The sequence below is a fragment of the Homo sapiens genome, chromosome 3, assembly GCF_000001405.40.
Source record: "Homo sapiens chromosome 3, GRCh38.p14 Primary Assembly".
Taxonomy (NCBI): Eukaryota; Metazoa; Chordata; class Mammalia; order Primates; family Hominidae; genus Homo; species Homo sapiens.
The window spans coordinates 4062305-4081981 of NC_000003.12; the positions used below are offsets into that span (position 1 = coordinate 4062305).

The 19677-nt window shown below is 40.4% G+C and overlaps 1 protein-coding gene across 4 annotated transcripts in view, besides 1 other annotated feature; it reads right to left on the minus strand.

The window, feature by feature from the left end:
- The window catches only part of SUMF1 (sulfatase modifying factor 1), a 432784-nt gene that overhangs the window by 27819 nt on the left and 385288 nt on the right, over positions 1-19677 (minus strand). For 3 of the 4 annotated variants that reach the window (XM_017006253.2, XM_017006252.3, XM_011533624.4), the window contains 2 exons: positions 6265-6441; positions 1556-5789 (listed from right to left, as the gene is read on the minus strand). In XM_017006253.2, the coding sequence (XP_016861742.1) occupies positions 5634-5789; positions 6265-6441 (333 nt within the window). In that variant the 3' untranslated portion in view covers positions 1556-5633. Of the gene's footprint in view, positions 1-1555; positions 5790-6264; positions 6442-19677 lie in introns of those variants that run through there. The other variant, XM_017006254.3, reaches the window with a different exon arrangement.
- Positions 3016-3516: an enhancer, noted in NCBI's record as "OCT4-NANOG-H3K4me1 hESC enhancer chr3:4107004-4107504 (GRCh37/hg19 assembly coordinates)". NCBI's record gives its function as "activates a minimal SCP1, AML or CMV promoter by ChIP-STARR-seq in primed H9 embryonic stem cells {active_cell/tissue: H9 hESC(primed)}" and the evidence as "EXISTENCE:reporter gene assay evidence [ECO:0000049][PMID:30033119]".

Here is a 19677-nt window from a genome sequence, read left to right on the forward strand (position 1 = left end):
AGAACCTCAGCTCCCTTATGTGCAACATCAGAATGATAATAATAGCAATAGAACCTTCTTCACACTGCTACTGTGAGGGTCACACCAGGTGTAACACAAGTAAAAGTTACCTTACAAAGTGCAGCTTATTGTTATTATCAACTGTTGCTGCCAGACGAGGTGTCAGAGTCCCAGCATCAGGAAGTGGTTGGTTCATGGACAGGATAGTAAGAAGAATTTACCAACAATCGTATAGGTTTGAAGAAGAAAATTTTATTAGATAGAAAGAACACTGCAGAAGAATGAGTGGGGTGCCTCAGCAAGAGAGGAATGAGCGCAATGTGGTGGATTTTTCCTTGGGAATATTTATGAATCTTAAAGTGGGTACTTTAGGGTAATTTGAACCATATTAGCCATGTAGGTCATGAAAAATGATTGCATTTGTAGGCATTTTGGTACCTTGATGTCAACAAGGGTTGCACAATGAGTTTCAATATGCATGCATTCCGGAGATGTACAGCAATTCTAGTTACTTATACATTTTTGGGAAAGAAACCTGCAACCAGATGCCTGCTTTAGATAACAGGGAAGTCTAATATTCTAAATTCCTCAAATAAGGAGTTTTGTCTCTGGATGGCCTGCTTGATGGCCACCAGGTGATCTTTGCTTTCCTTGGTTGCCTTATAATTGAAATTCTTTCTGGAAGGAAAGATGTCCTGATAATGAATAGTCCTCCCAGGAAAAGAAAAATCTGCATTTTCAATGCTTTATTTAAAAAGGAAACAAGCATTTATTGACATCTTTACATATGCCAATGCGATCTGAGAGACTACACTTTTATCAATTAAGACAGACACTAAGGTTAAAGAAACCAGGTTACCTACCAGTAGAGCGTTCAGGGCCTGGCTGGCATGGTAAATTTCTAAATGCCCACACATCAACTGCCTAACAACAGGAGCTATCAGGCAGATTTACAACCCAGACCACTATAACTGAACACAGGACCAAGAGCCAGCCTTACAAACATTTTCTGATAAGCTACTGCAGAACTTAGACCAGTTTCAGCAGCTTACAGAGACTGCACACAAAATGTTTTTGTGTCCTGTAGTTCACTTTTTGATGTACAGAGCCAAATTCTACCTCATTTTAATGCTAAAACCCCACCCCAAAGTGAACATGGGATGTATGTTATATATATATTTACCCGTCAGGCATGCTCACAGCTCCCGTCATAAATATGTGTAGCTTTTCCCCAAACCTGCTGAATATGCATGATAAAGACCCTGTGAAGCATAAAACCCAACCTGTCCTTTCCCTCTTCAAAGAGAGAGCACCTTCAGTCCATGCTAGAGACCTTCTCTTCCTGGTTTGCAAACTGATATCACCAATAAAAGTCTCCTTTCTACTATTTAGCCATCCTGGTGGTCTTTTGGAAGACACCAGGCACTATTCTAGATATTTTTACATGTATTATATTACTCAATCAGAAAACTTACTTTTGTGGACAATGTCATCATATCATATACCTTATTAAATTATTATATGTTTCTTGGTCTTTATTTCAAAACAAATACAGTTTGATGAAAGTCAGATTTATTAATCATAGATTGGTAGCTTAGAAATAATAACACCTTAAATCAGTACATCACTTGACATTCTATAAAGGGCTTGGCCAGTCACTGCTGAGCTTGATTGTCCCAACAAGATACAATTATTAGCACTGCTTGACAGAGAAGGAAACTGAGGGTGAGATAATGGCCCTGTCAGAGGCATTTGAACCAGAGTGACTTCATCTTGAATAGGAGCTGGGTAAAATAAGGCTGAGACCTACTGAGCCGCATTCCCCAGAGGTTAGGCATTCTCAGTCATAGGATGAGATAGGAGACCGGCACAAGATATAGGTCACAAAGACCTTGCTGATAAAAGAAGATGCAGTAAAAAAGCTGACCAAAACTCACCAAAACCAAGATGGCAATGAAGTGACCACTGATCATCCTCACTGATCATTATATGCTAACTATAATGCGTTAGCATGCTAAAAAACACCCTCCCCAGTGCCAAGACAGTTTACAAATGCCATGGAAACATCCGGAAGTTACCATATATGGTCTAAAAGGGGAAGAAACCCTCAGTTCTGGGTTTGCTTGCCCCTTTCCTGGAAAACTCATGAATAAGCCACACCTTGTTTAGCATATAATCAAGAAATAACTATAAGTATACTCAGTTGAGCCACCCATACTCTGCCTATGGAGTAGGCATTCTTTTGTTTCTTTACTTGTCTAATAAACTTGCTTTCACTCTTCTGTATGGACTCACCCCAAATACTTTCTTGCACAAGGTCCAAGAACCCTCTCTTGAGGTATGGGTCAGGACCCCTTTTCAGTAACAGCCTGATAACAGGAGAATGGCATGAACCCGGGAGGCAGAGGTTACAGTGGGGAACTCAGGAATTGAACCCAGGTCTACAGAACGCATGCTCTTAACCACTGTGCTCTAATCATTGTCTCTGCAGTCCTGAGAAGGAGTACGCTTCAGCCATATTTTAATGAACAAGTGCTAAATTTCTTTGCTCAGATAATTTCTTCAAGCTGTGTCATTTGGAAGGAAAATAAAACAGCATGGGACACAGCAAAAAGTGGTGAGTTTCATTAAACTGATGTAACAAATGGAAGCACAGAGGAAGAAACACTCTAATGGTCACTTGCAACATGTAAATAAAAAAGCAAGGTTTGCACCATGGTGCAGTTCTCCACCCTCTCTGGCAAGTCCTCCTAGTAACTCTGATTTATGGTATGTAAAGTTCTACAGCAGAAGGAAAATCAACTCCTGTTTACCTTGCCTCACCATTTCCCTTCCCATCTCAGAAGGTACTGTGCAAAGCCACTGTGCAGACTTAATAGTTTCTTCCGCATTTCAAGATGCTTTTTCTCACTGCTTTTTTGCTTTTTTTTTCTGCAATGAGACAGAGAAGCAATTACCTCTCCATCTGCTCATCTTGATACCTATGCTTCACTGGGCTAGAAAGAAGAGGAAATGAGAATGGGAAATCTAAAACCAAAGGCCTAGAGCCTGAAGAAGATGTACAAAGTTTTTAATTCAATGAGATTTGCATGTAAATCTGCAGTTCAAGTTTCCATCCTACTCCACTTCTAAGAAAAACCTAATTGCATCTGACTAAGGCAAGACAAACAGAACCGTATTTTTAAAAATAATACTTTTAAGGTTCAGAGAATCTACTATAACTCTATCTTGCATTTCTACAGTGATTTACGCTGAACAAAGCATTCACATACATTATCTCATTTATTTATTAAAGCAGTGCTAATTCCTTAAGCAATCATTTGAACTTGAAATTTAAAAGGATTTGGCAGAAAAAAAAAATTATCATTTTGAGTGCCTATGGAGTGCTAGCCATTGTACTGAGTGATTTGCATTCATTATCTCCAATCCTTACAACAACCCAGCAAGGCAGGAACATCAGCCCTGGTCCCAGCAGAGTTTAAAGTCATCCAACAAGGATTGCTATAGTAACCTGAGGCTAGCAACAGCTCTGAGAACTCAGAAAGGGTAGCAAATGGCAACACCAACTATGGCTTTCCATGGAGTGAGGAACCAACCCTTGTGATATGACAGGGGAAAAAATGAGGGGAACAGATACTCTTAACTCACTGCTCACCCGCTGTCTGATCTACTGCTTCTGCCTCCCTTCCTGCTCCATTGTCTAAACACAATTGGAACCAGAGCACAAGGGATCCCACTGACGAAACCCAACAGAATGAGCCTCCTGGGGCATAAAGCAGGGTAGGGAAGGGTGAAAAGTGGATCTGGAAGGGAAACAGAAGACATTCAGCACAGTCCATCCCTCCCCCAGCAACACTCCCCCAGGAACCCTCCCCCATCATTTACTGTTATTTTTAATTCAAAAATTGCAAAAATGCCAAAACAGGATGAAATGATATCAGTTCAGTCAACTTCCCAACAGAAACCCAAAACATGAGCAACCACCAAAAGATGGTTTTCATAAAACGATCTTTTTTCATGAAAATATGAGAGTAAAAAGTGAGGAGATAACTAGTTAACATAAAATTTAACTGTTATATTTCTGAAACCAACCAAATTGTCTCATAGAATGATGTTTATGGTTCTTGAATAAACATAGAAATTGGCCCTCCTGGTATTAAAGCTTGAAACTTACATTTGTCTTATCCGACAAACTTTCCTTTCTCAGGAAATCGACCCTCAGGCTTCCCAGATAGTATCAAGGAAACTGAAACTCACCAGATCGGTGAGATGCCAGACCCATTATTCCTCCTGACTGCTTCCTTACTCTTTCTTAATTTCTGTTTTCTAAATTCCTTCCTGCTATATACACCCCCAACCCCATTTTAGCTGGTTAGAAAGAACAGAGTTGAGGCTTGGCTGCCATCTTCCCGGCCGATGTCACCTGCAATATAACAAAGCCTTATCCCCTGGCAAAACTCATTGTTTCAGTGATTGGCTTTCTGAGCAGTCAATGACAGGACCTAGACCGAACACCTGGCATTTCCATAACAGTTCCTGTGGCTTCGCATACGAGCATAAGACCTAAGGTGATGAGCATAGCAGCCAGCCTTCTTCCACCACTATTCCTTGTTTGCCCTATCCTCTGCCCATTTCTCAACTGGATGGTGTTCCTTACTGAAAAATTAACCACAGTCTTGATTTATGAAGGGCCTGAATTCGTTAGGGGATAACCTCATTATCCCCTGGTAATCAGGACCAGTCACCTCACTGAATGCAGTGACCCCTTTTCTATACAATGGTCCAGCTACATAAGGAGCTCAGAATGGCCAGAGGCAGCTTCAGCTTCCAATTCACTAGGACCATGACTCTTTTAGAAGTAGTCTTTCTTTGGGCATTAGCATCTCCAGAACATTAAGCAGAAGTACTTCCAATGGGTTATTTGGTGTATCAGTAAGACAGGCCACTCTCATCTCCACCCTTGGTTCCCATACCTGGGCATTCTGGCTATAAGGGATGACACTATATTCTAGCCATTGGTTTTGAGGCATATATACCATATCATGAAGGAGAGCACTCCAAATTTGTAGAACGTTGCCTTCCCACCATCTTCATAACTGAGCCTTTGGCAGGCCATCCCACTATTCTGTTAAGTAGCTGCTTCTAGATGATGTTGCACATGATAATGCCAATGAATTCCATCAGGCTAACTTGACTATGTCATACCTTTTGCAAGAAAAACTGACCCCAAGTCATAAGCAATATTGGGACAGATAAGGCATTCTGTACAGGAGGCAATTGAGCAAGCTCTGGGGCATCCCCAGAATGGGCAGCTCATCCACCTGGTTATGGAGAGCCTCATCCACTCTGGGTGCTCTCTATGGACATTAACACAGTACACAAATATCCGTGCTCAATCAAAGAAATCCATTCATATACTTTTCTCCCAGAATTCTGATGTCCTGCAGGTGCCCAGCCCTACTCAAGAGAGTGGGGAGTTTTGGGTCCAAACTCAACCTGAAACCAATTGTCAAGAGAGCCCTTTGGTGTCATTCATAGGTCATCCCCCCAGAGCACAGAACAAGGTAGAGAGGATAAAGACTGTAACCAGAGGGCAAAGATATTCAGCTCTGTAGATATTATTGTCCCTTTTTTCAGATAAAGAAACTAAGAGTCCAAAAAGCAAAAATATCTTGCCTGAAGTCACACAGCTGGAAGAGGAAGCTGAGGTTAAAATCTTCCATTCTAAAACTTGTGTTCTTCCCTAGGCCATTAGCACCACATGGAGGAAGAGAAAGCCTCTGGGCTTCCTGCCAGGCAGAATTAGGTTCATCTGAGATGCAAACCAATTACCAGCTTAAAACATTTTCTTACATTGATAAGTGAAATCCAAAGTTCCCTCCTGTGGTCATTAAAATTAAAACTTAAAGATTATGATGAGCAAGGAATTCAAAGAGCTTTATTAGCTTGCTCAGTGGAATGTGTTCTTAAAGATGGCTTCACCCCCAATCCTGAGCCACCACAATCACAACCTCCAGAAAGAGCAATCTGTCTAATAGAAATATAATGTGAGCCACATTATCAAAGTTTCAAAAATTTACATTTTAAATTTGAGCCACATTTTAAAAAGTAAAAAACAATGATAGTAATTTTAATAATATACTTTAACACAATATGTTCAAAATATTATTTCAACATGTAATCAATATAAAAATGTTTGTGGGGTTTTTTACATTATTTATTTCATACTAAGTCTTCAAAATTCAGTGTGTATTTTGTACTTACAGCACATCTCAATTCAAACTTGCCACATGTCAAACGTTCAATAGCTGCATATTGCTGATGCCTACGTATTGAGCAGCATGGTTCTAGAGATGAGAAGGCCTTCCACCTGCTGGCTGTGTGTCTTCTCAACATCTCAGATGCCACATCTTGAAAATAGGGATCATAGTACTCTTGGGACTAAAACAAATAAGAAGAAGAAGAAGAAGAAATAATAATAACATGAATAGGTAATATTTATTTATTTGTCATGTGACAGGCATGCTAAATTTTAGAGAACTTACAGAACTTAATTCTTATAACAAACTACAACGAAAAATGGACACTTAAAATGATTAAGTGTCTTGCCCCAGGTCACAACTAAGATAACAATTTGAGCACTGACAATCTGACTACAGGGCCTGAACCCTTTTATGAAAATAACAATAATAATAACAATAATAGCTACAAATATTATATTTAAATACCCAGGAAGTTGATAGAATCAGCAAGACCAACAGCAAGGCCTCAGCAGGGCCAACCGTGCATGATAAATGGAGCCATTGTTATGACACTGTCCTCAAGAGCTTAGAATGTTGTAGGGAGAAAGAACACATAGGATGAGATAACTAGTCACAGAAGGCTGTTTATGGCATGTAACAGGCAAACAAAAGTGAGCTCTACACAAATCCATGGGGGCAGTGATCCGTGTAGGGTCTTAGGGCCCTGCAAGGGAGAGATGAAATACAACAGCAAATGCAAGTAGGTCCCACTTCGAGGTCATGTGTGACTTGTGCAATCACTTAGGGCCCTGTGCTCAGAAGAGTGCCACACTTGGTTAAATATTCAGCTGTCATGGTCCTGAAATTCTTAATAATTTTATCACTGAACTTATATTTTTTAAGTGAAGTCTGCTGGGACAATGGAGAATGTTCATGAGCAGAGGAGATACAGGTAACATGCAATCTATGTGCCCTCTTCCATTTCTTGCTACCTATTTGCATACAGCATTCATGATGCCCCATGAGCACATGTGTGGGAGTTTACTGAGATTTAAAGGGAGTGTGAGGTGAGTGTGTTATGAATATAACTTGAGAACTAAGCTCTGATTTTTTATCTGGCCCAAATTCCTACCTAAGGGGTCTAGGGGGTCATGCTCTATAAACCATAAATTCTGATCAGATGGGTTTTATTCTATATATCATGACTTACTTTTCAATCTGACTCTGGAATACCATTATGAGATAAGGAAAAATATATAACCCCAAAATATATTTTCTTGCCACACTTTGAAATTACCCTGAAAAGTCTCTTGTGGGAAAAATCCACATCCTATAGAGAATCCCCTTTCCCCTTTGTTTTCCTTACTTCCTTTTCAGATCCAGGAGATAATCAACTAAGAGCCAGATACGCTTTTAGCTCTGATAAGAAACATACAACCTGCTCTCTCTGAAGTCTGCTATCTGAGAAATTCCTCTGCACAATAAAACTTAGTCTCCACAATCCTTTATCTTAACCTGAACATTCCTTTCCATTGATCCCAGGTCTTCAGATAAACTCAACGAATTATGACCCAGAAAATGTTTAAATTTACTGATAGTCTGGGAGCTCCCACTTTGAGTTGTCCCACCTTTCTGAACCCAACCAATGTATTTCTTAAATGTATTTGATTGATGTCTCATGCCTCCCTAAAATACATAAAACCAAGCTGTACCCCAACCACCTTGGGTACATGTTCTCAGGACCTTCTGAAGGCTGTTTCACAGGCATGGTCACTCAAATTTGGCTCAGAATCAATCTCTTAAAATATTATACAGTGTTTGACTCTTTTCATCAACAAACGGAGTAAGAGGACAGCACCGTGAGAAGCCACAACGTCTCTTTGAACCAGAAATTGCTTCAATCACAGCATGAAGTCATTCTTTCTAAGAGACACACCATTCTAAGAAACATGAACAACCAATGAAATTCATCATATCCTTTCTTAATTATGCTACTTTATTAACTAACCACTCATGCTGAAAACGATGACATAGAAGAAAAGGGAAAGATAGGGCAACTCATATTTATTTTCCTTTCAGTCCTTTCTTTTTCTTTTTTCTTTTTTTTTAGGCAGAGTCTCACTCTGCTGCCCAGGCTGGAGTGCAGTGGCGCCATCTTGGCTCACTGCAAGCTCCACCTCCTGGGTTCAGGCCATTCTCCTGCCTCAGCCTCCTGAGTAGCTGGGACTACAGGTGCCTGCTACCACGCCTAATTTTTTGCATATTTAGTAGAGACGGGGTTTCACCATGTTGGTCAGGATGGTCTCAATCTCTTGACCTCATGATCCACCCACCTCGGCCTCCCAAAGTGCTGGGATTACAGAAGTGACCCACCGTGCCTGGCCTCCTTTCAGTACTTTCTTACTCAACAGTAAGCTTAAGGCAGAGATATTGGTAGACTGTGTGCATATCAAGAAGAAGAAGAATAAGTTGATTTAGCTTTGTGTAGTATTTTCACTGTTCTGGTAGGAATAATACATATATATTTGTATATATATATGTAAGCTATGAAAAACAAGTTGAGTAATTTTGGTGATTCTACATACAAGCTTAAAACTACATACTTGCATTTAAAACTGGCATTAGGAGGTGCTTCCACGATGGCTGAATAGGAACAGCTCCAGTCTGCAGCTCCCAGCGAGATCGACACAGAAGACAGGTGATTTCTGCATTTCCAACTGAGGAACCTGGTTCATCTCATTGAGACTGGATGGACAGTGGGTGCAGCCCACAGAGGGCGAGCCAAAGCAGGGTGGGGCATCGCCTCACCTGAAACACCAGGGATTGAGGGATTTCCCCTTCCTAGCCAAGAGAAGCCATGAGAGACTGTAACAGGAGGAACAGTACACTCCTGCCCAAATACTGCACCTTTCCCATGGTCTTTGCAACCAGCAGACCAGGAGATTCCCTATGGTGCCTGGCTCAGCAGGTCCCATGCCCACAGAGCCCAGCAAGCTTAAGATCCACTGGCTTGAAATTCTCACTGCTAGCGCAGGAGTCTGAGACGACCTGGGATGCTGGAGCTTAGTGGGGGGAGGGGCATCCGCCATTGCTGAGGCTTGAGTAGGCGTTTTTATGCTCACAGTGTAAACAAAGCTGCCAGGAAGCTCAAACTGGGTGGAGCCCACCACAGCTCAGCAAGGCTGACTGCCTCTCTAGATTCCATCTCTGTGGGAAGGGCATATGTGAACAAAAGGCAGCAGCCTCTGTCAGGGACTTAGAGAAAAACCCCTCATCTCCCTGGGACAGAGCACCTGAGGGAAGGGGCAGCTGTGGGCACAGCTTCTGCAGACTTAAACATCCCTGCCTCACAGCTCTGAAGAGCAGTGGTTCTCCCAGCATGGCATTGGAGCTCTTATAATGAACAGACTGCCTTGTCAAGTGGGTCCCTGACCCCTGTGTACCTGACTGAGAGATACCTCCCAGTAGGGGCCGACAGACACCTCATACAAGAGAGCACTGCTTGGCATCTGGCAGGTGCCCCTCTAAGACAAATTTTCCAGAGTAAGGATCAGGCAGCAATATTTGCTGTTCTGCAGCCTCCTTTAGTGATACCCAGGAAAACAGGGTCTGGAGTGGACCTCCAGCAAACTCCAACAGACCTGCAGCTAAGTGGCCTGACTGTCAGAAGGAAAACTAACGAATACAAGGGGCCTGACTGTTAGAAGGAAAACTAACAAATAGAAAGGAATAGCATCAACATCAACAAAAAGGACATCCACACCAAAACCCCATCTGTAGGTCACCAACATCAAAGACCAAAAGTAGATAAAACCAAAAAGATGAGGAGAAACCAGAGCAGAAAGCCTGAAAATTCCAAAAACCAAAACGCCCCTTCTCCTCCTGAGGGTCACAACTCCTCACCAGCAAGGGAACAAAACTGGATAGAGAATGAGTTTGACAAGTTGACAGAAGTAGGCTTCAGAAGGTGGATAATCACAAACTTATCAGAGCTAAAGGAGCATGTTCTAAACCATCTCAAGGAAGCTAAAAACCTTGAAAACAGGTTAAAGGAATGGCTAACTAGAATAACCAGCGTAGAGTAGAACATAAATGACCTGTTGGAGCTGAAAAACACAGCACGAGAACTTCATGAAGCATACAGAAACTTCAATAGCTGATTCGATCAAGCAGAACAAAGGATATCAGTGATTGAAGGTCAAATTGATGAAATGAAGTGAGAAGACAAGATTAGAGAAAAAAAGAGTGAAGAGAAATGAACAAAGCCTCCAAGAAATATGGGACTATGTGAAAAGACCAAACCTACGTTTGACTGGTGTACCTGAAAGGGATGGGGAGAATGGAACCAAGTTAGAAAACAGTCTTCAAGATATTATTCAGGAGAACTTCCCCAACATAGCAAGGGAGGCCAACATTCAAATTCAGGAAATATAGAGAACACCACAAAGATATTCCTCGAGAAGAGCAACCCAAAGAGACAAAACCATCCGACTCACCAAGGTTTAAATGAAGGAAAAAATGTTAACGGCAGCCAGAGAGAAACGTTGGGTTACCCACAAAGGGCAGCCCATCAGACTAACAGCGGATCTCTCTGCAGAAACCCTATAAGCCAGAAGAGAGTGGAAGCCAATATTCAACATTCTTAAAGAAAAGAATTTTCAACCCAGAATTTCATATCCAGCCAAACTAAGATTCATAAGCAAAGGAGAAATAAGATCCTTTACAGAGAAGCAAATGCTGAGAGATTTTGTCACCATCAGGCCTGCCTTACAAGAGCTCCTAAAGGAAGCGCTAAACATGGAAAGGAATAACTGGTACCAGCCACTGCAAAAACATGCCAAACTGTAAAGACCATCAACTCTATGAAGAAACTGCATCAACCAACAGGCAAAATAACCAGCTAGCATCATAATGACAGGATCAGATTCACACATAACAATACTAACCTTAAATGTAAATGGGCTAAATGCTGCAATTAAAAGACACAGACTGGCAAATTGGATAAAGAGTCAAGACCCATTGGTGTGCAGTATTCAGGAGACCCATCTCACATGCAAAGACACATATAGGCTCAAAATAAACGTATGGGGGAAGATCTACCAAGCAAATGGAAAGCAAAAACAAAAAGCAGGGGTTGCAATCCTAGTCTCTGAGAAAACACACTTTAAACCAACAAAGATCAAGAGAGACTAAGAAGGCCATTATATAATGGTAAAGGGATCAATTCAACAAGAAGAGCTAACTATCCTAAATATACATGCACCCAATACAGGAGCACCCAGATTCATAAAGCAAGGTCTCAAAGACCTGAAGAGGGACTTAGACTCCTACACAATAATAATGGGAGACTGTAACAATCCACTGTCAATATTAGACAGATCAAGGAGACAGAAAATTAACAAGGATATCCAGGACTTGAAATCAGCTCTGGACCATGCGGACCTAATAGACATCTACCAAACTCTCCACCCCAAATCAACAGAATATACATTCTTCTCAGCACCACATCACACTTATTCTAAAATTGACCACATAATTGGAAGTAAAACACTCCTCAGCAAATGTAAAAGAACAGAAATCACAACAAACAGTCTCTCAGACCACAGTGCAATCAAATTAGAACTCTGGATTAAGAAACTCACTCAAAACTGCATGACTACATGGAAACTGATCAACCTGCTCCTCAATGACTACTGGATAAATAACAAAATGAAGGCAGAAATAAAGATATTCTTTGAAACCAATGAGAACAAAGACATGACGTACCAGAATCTCTGTGACACATTTAAAGCAGTGTGTAGAGGGAAATTTATAGCACTAAATGCCCACAAGAGAAAGCAGGAAAGATCTAAAATCAACACCATAACATCACAATTAGAAGAACTAGAGAAGCAAGAGCAAACAAATTCAAAAGCTAGCAGAAGGCAAGAAATAACTAAGCTCAGAGCAGGACTAAAGGAGAAAGAGACACAAAAAAACCCTTCAAAAAATCAATGAATACAGGAGCTGGTTTTTTGGAAAGATCAACAAAATAGATAAACCACTAGCAAGACTAATAAAGAAGAAAAGAGAAGAATCAAATAGACCCAATAAAAAATGATAAAGGGGATATTACCACCGATCCCATGGAAATACAAACTACCATCAGAGAATAGTATAAACACCTCTATGCAAATAAATTAGAAAATCTAGAAGAAATTGATAAAGTCCTGGATACAGACACCCACCCAAGACTAAACCAGGAAGAAATTCAATCTCTGAATAGACCAATGACCTGAAATGCTCTGAAATTGAGGCAATAATTAATATCCTACCAACCAGAAAAAGTCCAGGACCAGATGGATTCAGAACCAAATTCCACCAGACGTACAAAAAGGAGCAGATACCATTCCTTCTGAAACTATTCCAATGAATAGAAAAAGAGGGAATCCTCCCTAACTCATTTTATGAGGCCAGCATCATCCTGATACCAAAGCCTGGCAGAGACACAACAAAAAAAAGGGAATTTTAGGCCAATATCCCTGATGAACATCAATGTGAAAATCCTCAATAAAATACTGGCAAACTGAATCCAGCAGCACATCAAAAAGCTTATCCACCACCAAGTCGGCTTCATCCCTGGGATGCAAGGCTGGTTCAACATACATAAGTCAATAAACATAATCCATCACATAAACAGAACCAACGACAAAAACCACATGATTATCTCAATAGATACAAAAGAGGACTTGACAAAATTCAACAGCCCTTCATGCTAAAAACTCTCAATAAACTAGGTATTGATGGAACGTATCTCAAAATAATAAGTTATTTATGATAAACCCACAGACAATATCACACCAAATGGGCAAAAACTGAAAGCATTCCCTTGGAAAACTGGCACAAGACAAAGATGCCCTCTCTCACCACTCCTATTCAACATAGTATTAGAAGTTCTGGCCAGGGCAATTAGGCAAGAGAAAGAAAAAAAGGGTATTCAATTAGGAAAAGAGGAAGTCAAATTGTCTCTGTTTGCAGATGACATGTTTATATATTTAGAAAACCCCATCATCTCAGCCCAAAATCTCCGTAAGCTGATGAGTAACTTCAGCAAAGTCTCAGGATACAAAATCAATAGGCAAAAATCACAGGCATTCCTACATACCAATAACAGACAAACAGAGACAAATCATGAGTGAACTCCCATTCACAATTGCTACAAACAGAATAAAATACCTAGGAATCCAACTTACAAGGAATGTGAAGGACCCCTTCAAGGAGAACTACAAACCACTGCTCAATGAAATAAAAGAGGACACAAACAAATGGAAAAACATTCCATGCTCATGGATAGAAAGAATTAATATCATGAAAATGGCCATACTGCCTAAAGTAATTTATAGATTCAATGCTATCCCCATCATGCTAGCACTGACTTTCTTCACAGAATTGGAAGTAAAGCTACTTTAAATTTCACATGGAACCAAAAAACAGCCCACATTGCCAAGACAATCCTAAGCAAAAAGAACAAAGCTGGAGGCATCATGCTACCTGACTTTAAACTATACTACAAGGCTGCAGTAACCAAAACAGCATGGTACTGGTACCAAAACAGATATATAGACCAATGGAACAGAACAGAGGCCTCAAAAATAACACCACACATCTACAACCATCTATCTTTGACAAACCTGACAAAAACAAGCAATGGGGAAAGGATTCCCTATTTAATAAATGGTGCTGGTGGGAAAACTGGCTAGGCATATGTAGAAAGCTGAAACTGGATCCCTTCCTTAACACCTTATACAAAAATTAACTGAACATGGATTAAAAACTTAAATGTAAGACCTAAAACCATGAAAACCCTAGAAGAAAACCTAGGCAATACCATTCAGGACATAGGCATGGGCAAAGACTTCATGAATACAATACCAAAAGCAATGGCAACAAAAGCCAAAATAGACAAGTTGGATCTAATTAAGTTAAAGAGCTTCTGCACAGCAAATGAAACTACCATCAGAGTGAACAGGCAACCTACACAATGGGAGAAAATTTTTGCAATCTATCCATCTGACAAAGCACTAATATCCAGAATCTACAAAGAACTTAAACAAATTTACAAGAAAAAAACAAAAAACCCCATCAAAAAGCGGGTGAAGGATATGAACAGATACTTCTCAAAAGAAGACACTGGCCGGGCGTGGTGGCTCACGCCTGTAATCCCAGCACTTTGGGAGACCGAGGCGGGCGGATCAGGAGGTCAGGAGATCCAGACCATCCTGGCTAACATGGTGAAACCCCATCTCTGCTTAACTTAGAATACAAAAAATTAGACAGGTGTGGTGGCGGGCACCTGTAGTCCCAGCTACTCGGGAGGCTGAGGCAGGAGAATGGCGTGAACCCGAGAGGCAGAGCTTGCAGTGAGCCGAGATCGTGCCACTGCACTCCAGCCTGGGCAACAGAGCGAGACTCCATCTCAAAAAAGAAAAAAAAAGAAGACATTTATGCAGCCAACAGACATATGAAAAAATGCTCATCATCACTGGTCATTAGAGAAGTGCAAATCAAAACCACACTGAGATACCATCTCACACCAGTTAGAATGGTGATCGTTAAAAAGTCAGGAAACAACAGACGCTGGAGAGGATGTGGAGAAACAGGAATGCTTTTACACTGTTGGTGGGAGTGTAAATTAGTTTAACCATTGTGCAAGACAGTGTGGCAATTCCTCAAGGATCTAGAACTAGAAATACCATTTGACCCAGCAATCCCATTACTGGGTATATACCCAAAGGATTATAAATCATGCTACTATAAAGACACATGCACACGTATGTTTATTGTGGCACTATTCACAACAGAAAAGACTTGGAACCAACCCAAATGTCCATCAATAATAGACTGGATAAAGAAAATGTGGCACATACACACCATGGAATACTATGCAGCCATGAAAAAGAACAAGTTCATGTCCTTTGCAGGGACATGGATGAAGCTGGAAACCATCATTCTCAGCAAACTATCACAAGGACAGAAAAACAAACACTGCATGTTCTCACTCATAAGTGGGAGTTCAACAATGAGAGCACATGGACACAGGGAGGGGAACATCACACACCAGGGCCTGTCATCGGGTTGGGGGCTGGGGGAGGGATAGCATTAGGAGAAATACCTAATGTAAATGTCGAGTTCATGGGTGCCGCAAACCAACATGGCACATGTACACATATGTAACAAACCTGCACGTTGTGCACATGCACCCCAGAACTTAAAGTATAATAAAAAAAAACTGGCATTAAACTATATAAGATGAATAGTAAAATTCATGCTAATAATTTAAATTTAAATTTTTATTTATTAACAATACTAAATAGTAAGTAAAAAGACCATGCTAAGTCAAGAGAAAGAGACCATGGAAGAAAGAAAAAAGCTTGATATTTTAGTCCTTTTCATGGCATTTTTTTCTTGCTTTTAAACAAGAGGGCCCATATTTTCACTTTGCACTGGGACTCACAAATTATGTAGCCAGCCCTGTTGGCAAGAGCGCAGCTTCCCCTCTCCTATGCTAATAGCAGACACTACTGATTGCATATGGTACTGTTCCCCACTGAGCCGAAATATGACCTCAAAATCTTTTTGAAAGCAGGGTTCAAAAGTGCAATCTGAGCAGGCATACAAGCTGAATCTATGGGCATCCCTCAAAATCAAACTATGCAGATGGAAATGGGGCTGGCTTTCCAGACAATGAAAATACTGGCTGGTGTGTTACCAGAGTAATGAGTAGGCCAAGCTTGCTAAACTCAAACTATCCACTACCTGTGAACGTATCATCCCAGTTCCAAATGTAAAACAACATAACAAAAATCAGCTTGACAAACAAGATAATTAGACTTAACTTTGATCATGTGTTTCATTAGTTACAGAAACGGCCCACAATTTAGAGTTCTTTCTGATTATGTTAGAGTAGGAGCCTCTAAAAAAATGAATAATGCAATAAATGGATCAATATTTATATGGTGCTAATTATATGCCAGGTGCTATTTTTAAATGATTTGCATACATTAACTCATTTAATCCATGTAACAGGCCCAGTGTGGTAGCTCCCACCTATAATCCCAGCACTTTGGGAGGCCACAGCAGGAGAATCACTTGAGGCCAAGAGTTCAAGTCCAAGAATTTGAGTCCATCCTGGGCAACACAGTGAGACCCCCATCTCTAAAAAAAAAAATCAAAAAAAGTTTTAAAAATCCATACAACAACCTATGAAGTAGGTACTGTGGTTATCTCATTTTTATAGGTGAAAAAACTGGGACAGAGAGGGGTTTAATAACTACCTCAAGGTCATCATCTAATCAATAACAGAGCCAGGTAGTGTGGATTTAAAGTTTATACTCTTAAAATCTCTTGAAGAAGTCGCTGCAGAAGGTGTCCATCACAGACTTGGCAATGTTTTGCTAAAGATGTTTTCTCGGGAAGCTCTCGGTTTTCTCTGGGTTTTTTCCTCCTCCTATGTGACATTGTTTGTCATCTGTACCTCAGAGCAGTTCTGCGTGAGTCGCCTCACAGTCCCTGATGAGCAATTTCACCCATTTTAGCCCTTCCCACACTAACCGCGAATTCAAGATCAGCCCAAGAAGTAACAACATCCATGTCATCAGCTCAGCCAGCCAAAATACCCTGTATTCCAGCTTCTGTAAATATTATTAGCTAACACCTCGCTTCAATCCTTGAAACCACACACCAGAATCTTAGAGTTGGAAGGGTTTTTGGAAATCATCTAATACAGGGATAATAAAAAGGTTTACCTCACATGCCCATTTTGATCTGATCGATTGGTAGTAGATGCCTGGAGTGACATGAGAAGGGTTTTGATACCATTTGGAGTTTACTGAAATAAGGTACATGCCTGACATGTACCTGAGAGAGCAGCAGAAGCTCATATGCTGTCCTAGCAGTACAGTGTAGCTCTTAGGAATATGGGCTCTGGGGTTAGATTTCCTAGGATCAAAGTCTTGCTTCACTGTTTGCTGATAGAAACTTGCTTAAGTTTGCACTAAATCTATCTAAGTTCTCTTGTTTGTGAAATGAGGCTGATGAAATCTACCTGATAGGTTGGTTGTGATAATTTAGTGAAATAATATATGGAAAGTACTTATTGGAATATCTAGTATGCCCTAAGTACTCAACATGCTGTTAACACATATTGATCTTAAGCAACTTGTCGTATCTGGCATGGGTCCTGGAGGTGACAGTGGCAGTAACAGTGCCATTTATATGCCATTTCTGATCTAGTCCTATCTTTTAAACCTACAGATGGAGAAGCTGAAGCTGCAGAAACTGTGGGGCTTTCCCAAAATCACATATATTGTCTCCTTCAAAACTAAAGGCACTCAGGAAACATAATAATCTTCTTGCCCTGGCTCTGCCTCTCCCTGCGTGCAACCTCAGGCAAAGCACTGCTCTCTGGACTTCGGTGTCCTTATCTGTATAATAAATGAGTCAGAATCCAAATGATCTTCACAGAGTAGTCACTCCCAGAGGGTCCTGTATTTCCAGGGGGTGAGGAACACTTTTACCCGTAGTTCACTGGACGTTACAAACAGCAATTCTTTACTTCCAGTTTTGACAGTTTCAGTGTTAACTAATCACTCCAGTATTCCTTGCACAAATGCACACGTACATTCCATTTGCTTTGATCTCAAACTTAAGTTTTTTATGAATGAAGGCTACAGCTGGACACCAAAAGATTATACCATTAATTTTTAAGTATGCCTCAGAGGGTCTAATGGGCTATGACCCACAATGGTCATATCAGCGGCATTCCACTTCCTCTTGAGCCACTGGCCAAGCTGGTATTGAGGTGCATGTCCCAGTTTATCTCCAGCCCTCCTAATCTCAGACTTTCTGCACCTATGCTAATACTTGAACCAACTCTTCTTTTTTTTAATTGAATCCAATGCAATGTACCTGGGAACCCTGCTTCAAAATCTGATGCCAAATCTAAAACACTGGACAAAATCCAGGTTTTTATTCATTTTCTGATGGGCACTAGCTGCTAATTAAGCATCCAAACAATGTTCTAAAAAGGAAGAAAAATCATAAAATATGGACTTAACATTAATCACACAGACATACATGTAATATACGTTACCTTTATAGCAGGAACCAATAAAAGAATACAATATAAAACACATATTTGTACTAGATAATTTTGTATAAATATTTTAAAGGTTTCTTAGCTCAGGGATTAGAGCACTGGTTTTATAAAAGAGCAGGTCACATATTCAAATTTCACGAAGACTTTCCTGATGTCTTTCAAAGAAGTATAACACACATATTAAGAATCTGGACTCAGGAGCCACATTATCTGAATTCAAATCTTGACTTTCTCACTTCCTAGCTGGTGACCATGAGCAAGTCATTAAATAAATTTTCTTACCTCAGTTTGCTCAACTGAAAAATGGGAATAATGATGATCTGGTAAGAATTGTTTAAAGGACTCAATACACATTAAGCGTTTAGCCCAGTGACTGCCCAGGTTTCAAGACAAAGGTGAATTCAAGCCTCTTGACATAATGACCTCACTTTTCAACTTATGTATTGCCTCCTATTTTACAGATAAAGAAACTAAAGTTCAGAGAAGAGCTGTTGCCTAAAGTAACGTTCACTGAGCAGGTCAGGACAGGACACTACTTAGTAGCAAAGCCAGGACCAGAACCCAATTTTTCTAAACCTCAGAGCACTACTTTCCTCAAATCAGTGTTCCTTCTGCCTCATCTAGGGTAGATACAGATATCCATCCTCTTTCTTCACTGCCTGCTTCTACTCAGATGGGCTTCCTGAGAGCAAGATCCCTGTCATATTCTCATTGGCTGGCACCGTTCCTAGCATATAGTAAACTTTATTATCTAATTGAGTTGAATTCATTCATCAGCTCTTTACATTATACACCTAACTTCTTTTAGATGTTGCCAATAAGCTGATTGTCAGTTATTTAGGTCTTAAGGAGACAGTCCAGTAGAGTGGTTTAGAAAAAAAGGCTCCACAGCTGGGCTGTATGGGCTCAAAGAGTACTTCTGCCACTTCCTAATTAATTTGACCATGGCCAGGTTACTTCACCTCAGCTTCTTCAGTTATAAAATGGGACAATAACACCTCTGTCATAGGGTTATGAGTGATAACTTGGAATAATATGCAATGGTCAATTGTATGTGTGGACTTGACTAGCCTATAATCTCGGTTACTCAATCCAACACAACTAGGTGCAGCCACAAAAGTATTTTGTAGATGTGTTTAACATCTACAATCAGGAACTCTGACTGATAAAGTATGTAAAGCTCATACCTGGTCCATCATACTTAATGAATGTTAACTGCCAATAGTGTTAGTGATATTTCCATTGTTGTTGAACACATACTGAAAGCCTTAACACAATAACTTTAAGTGTAAGGGTATA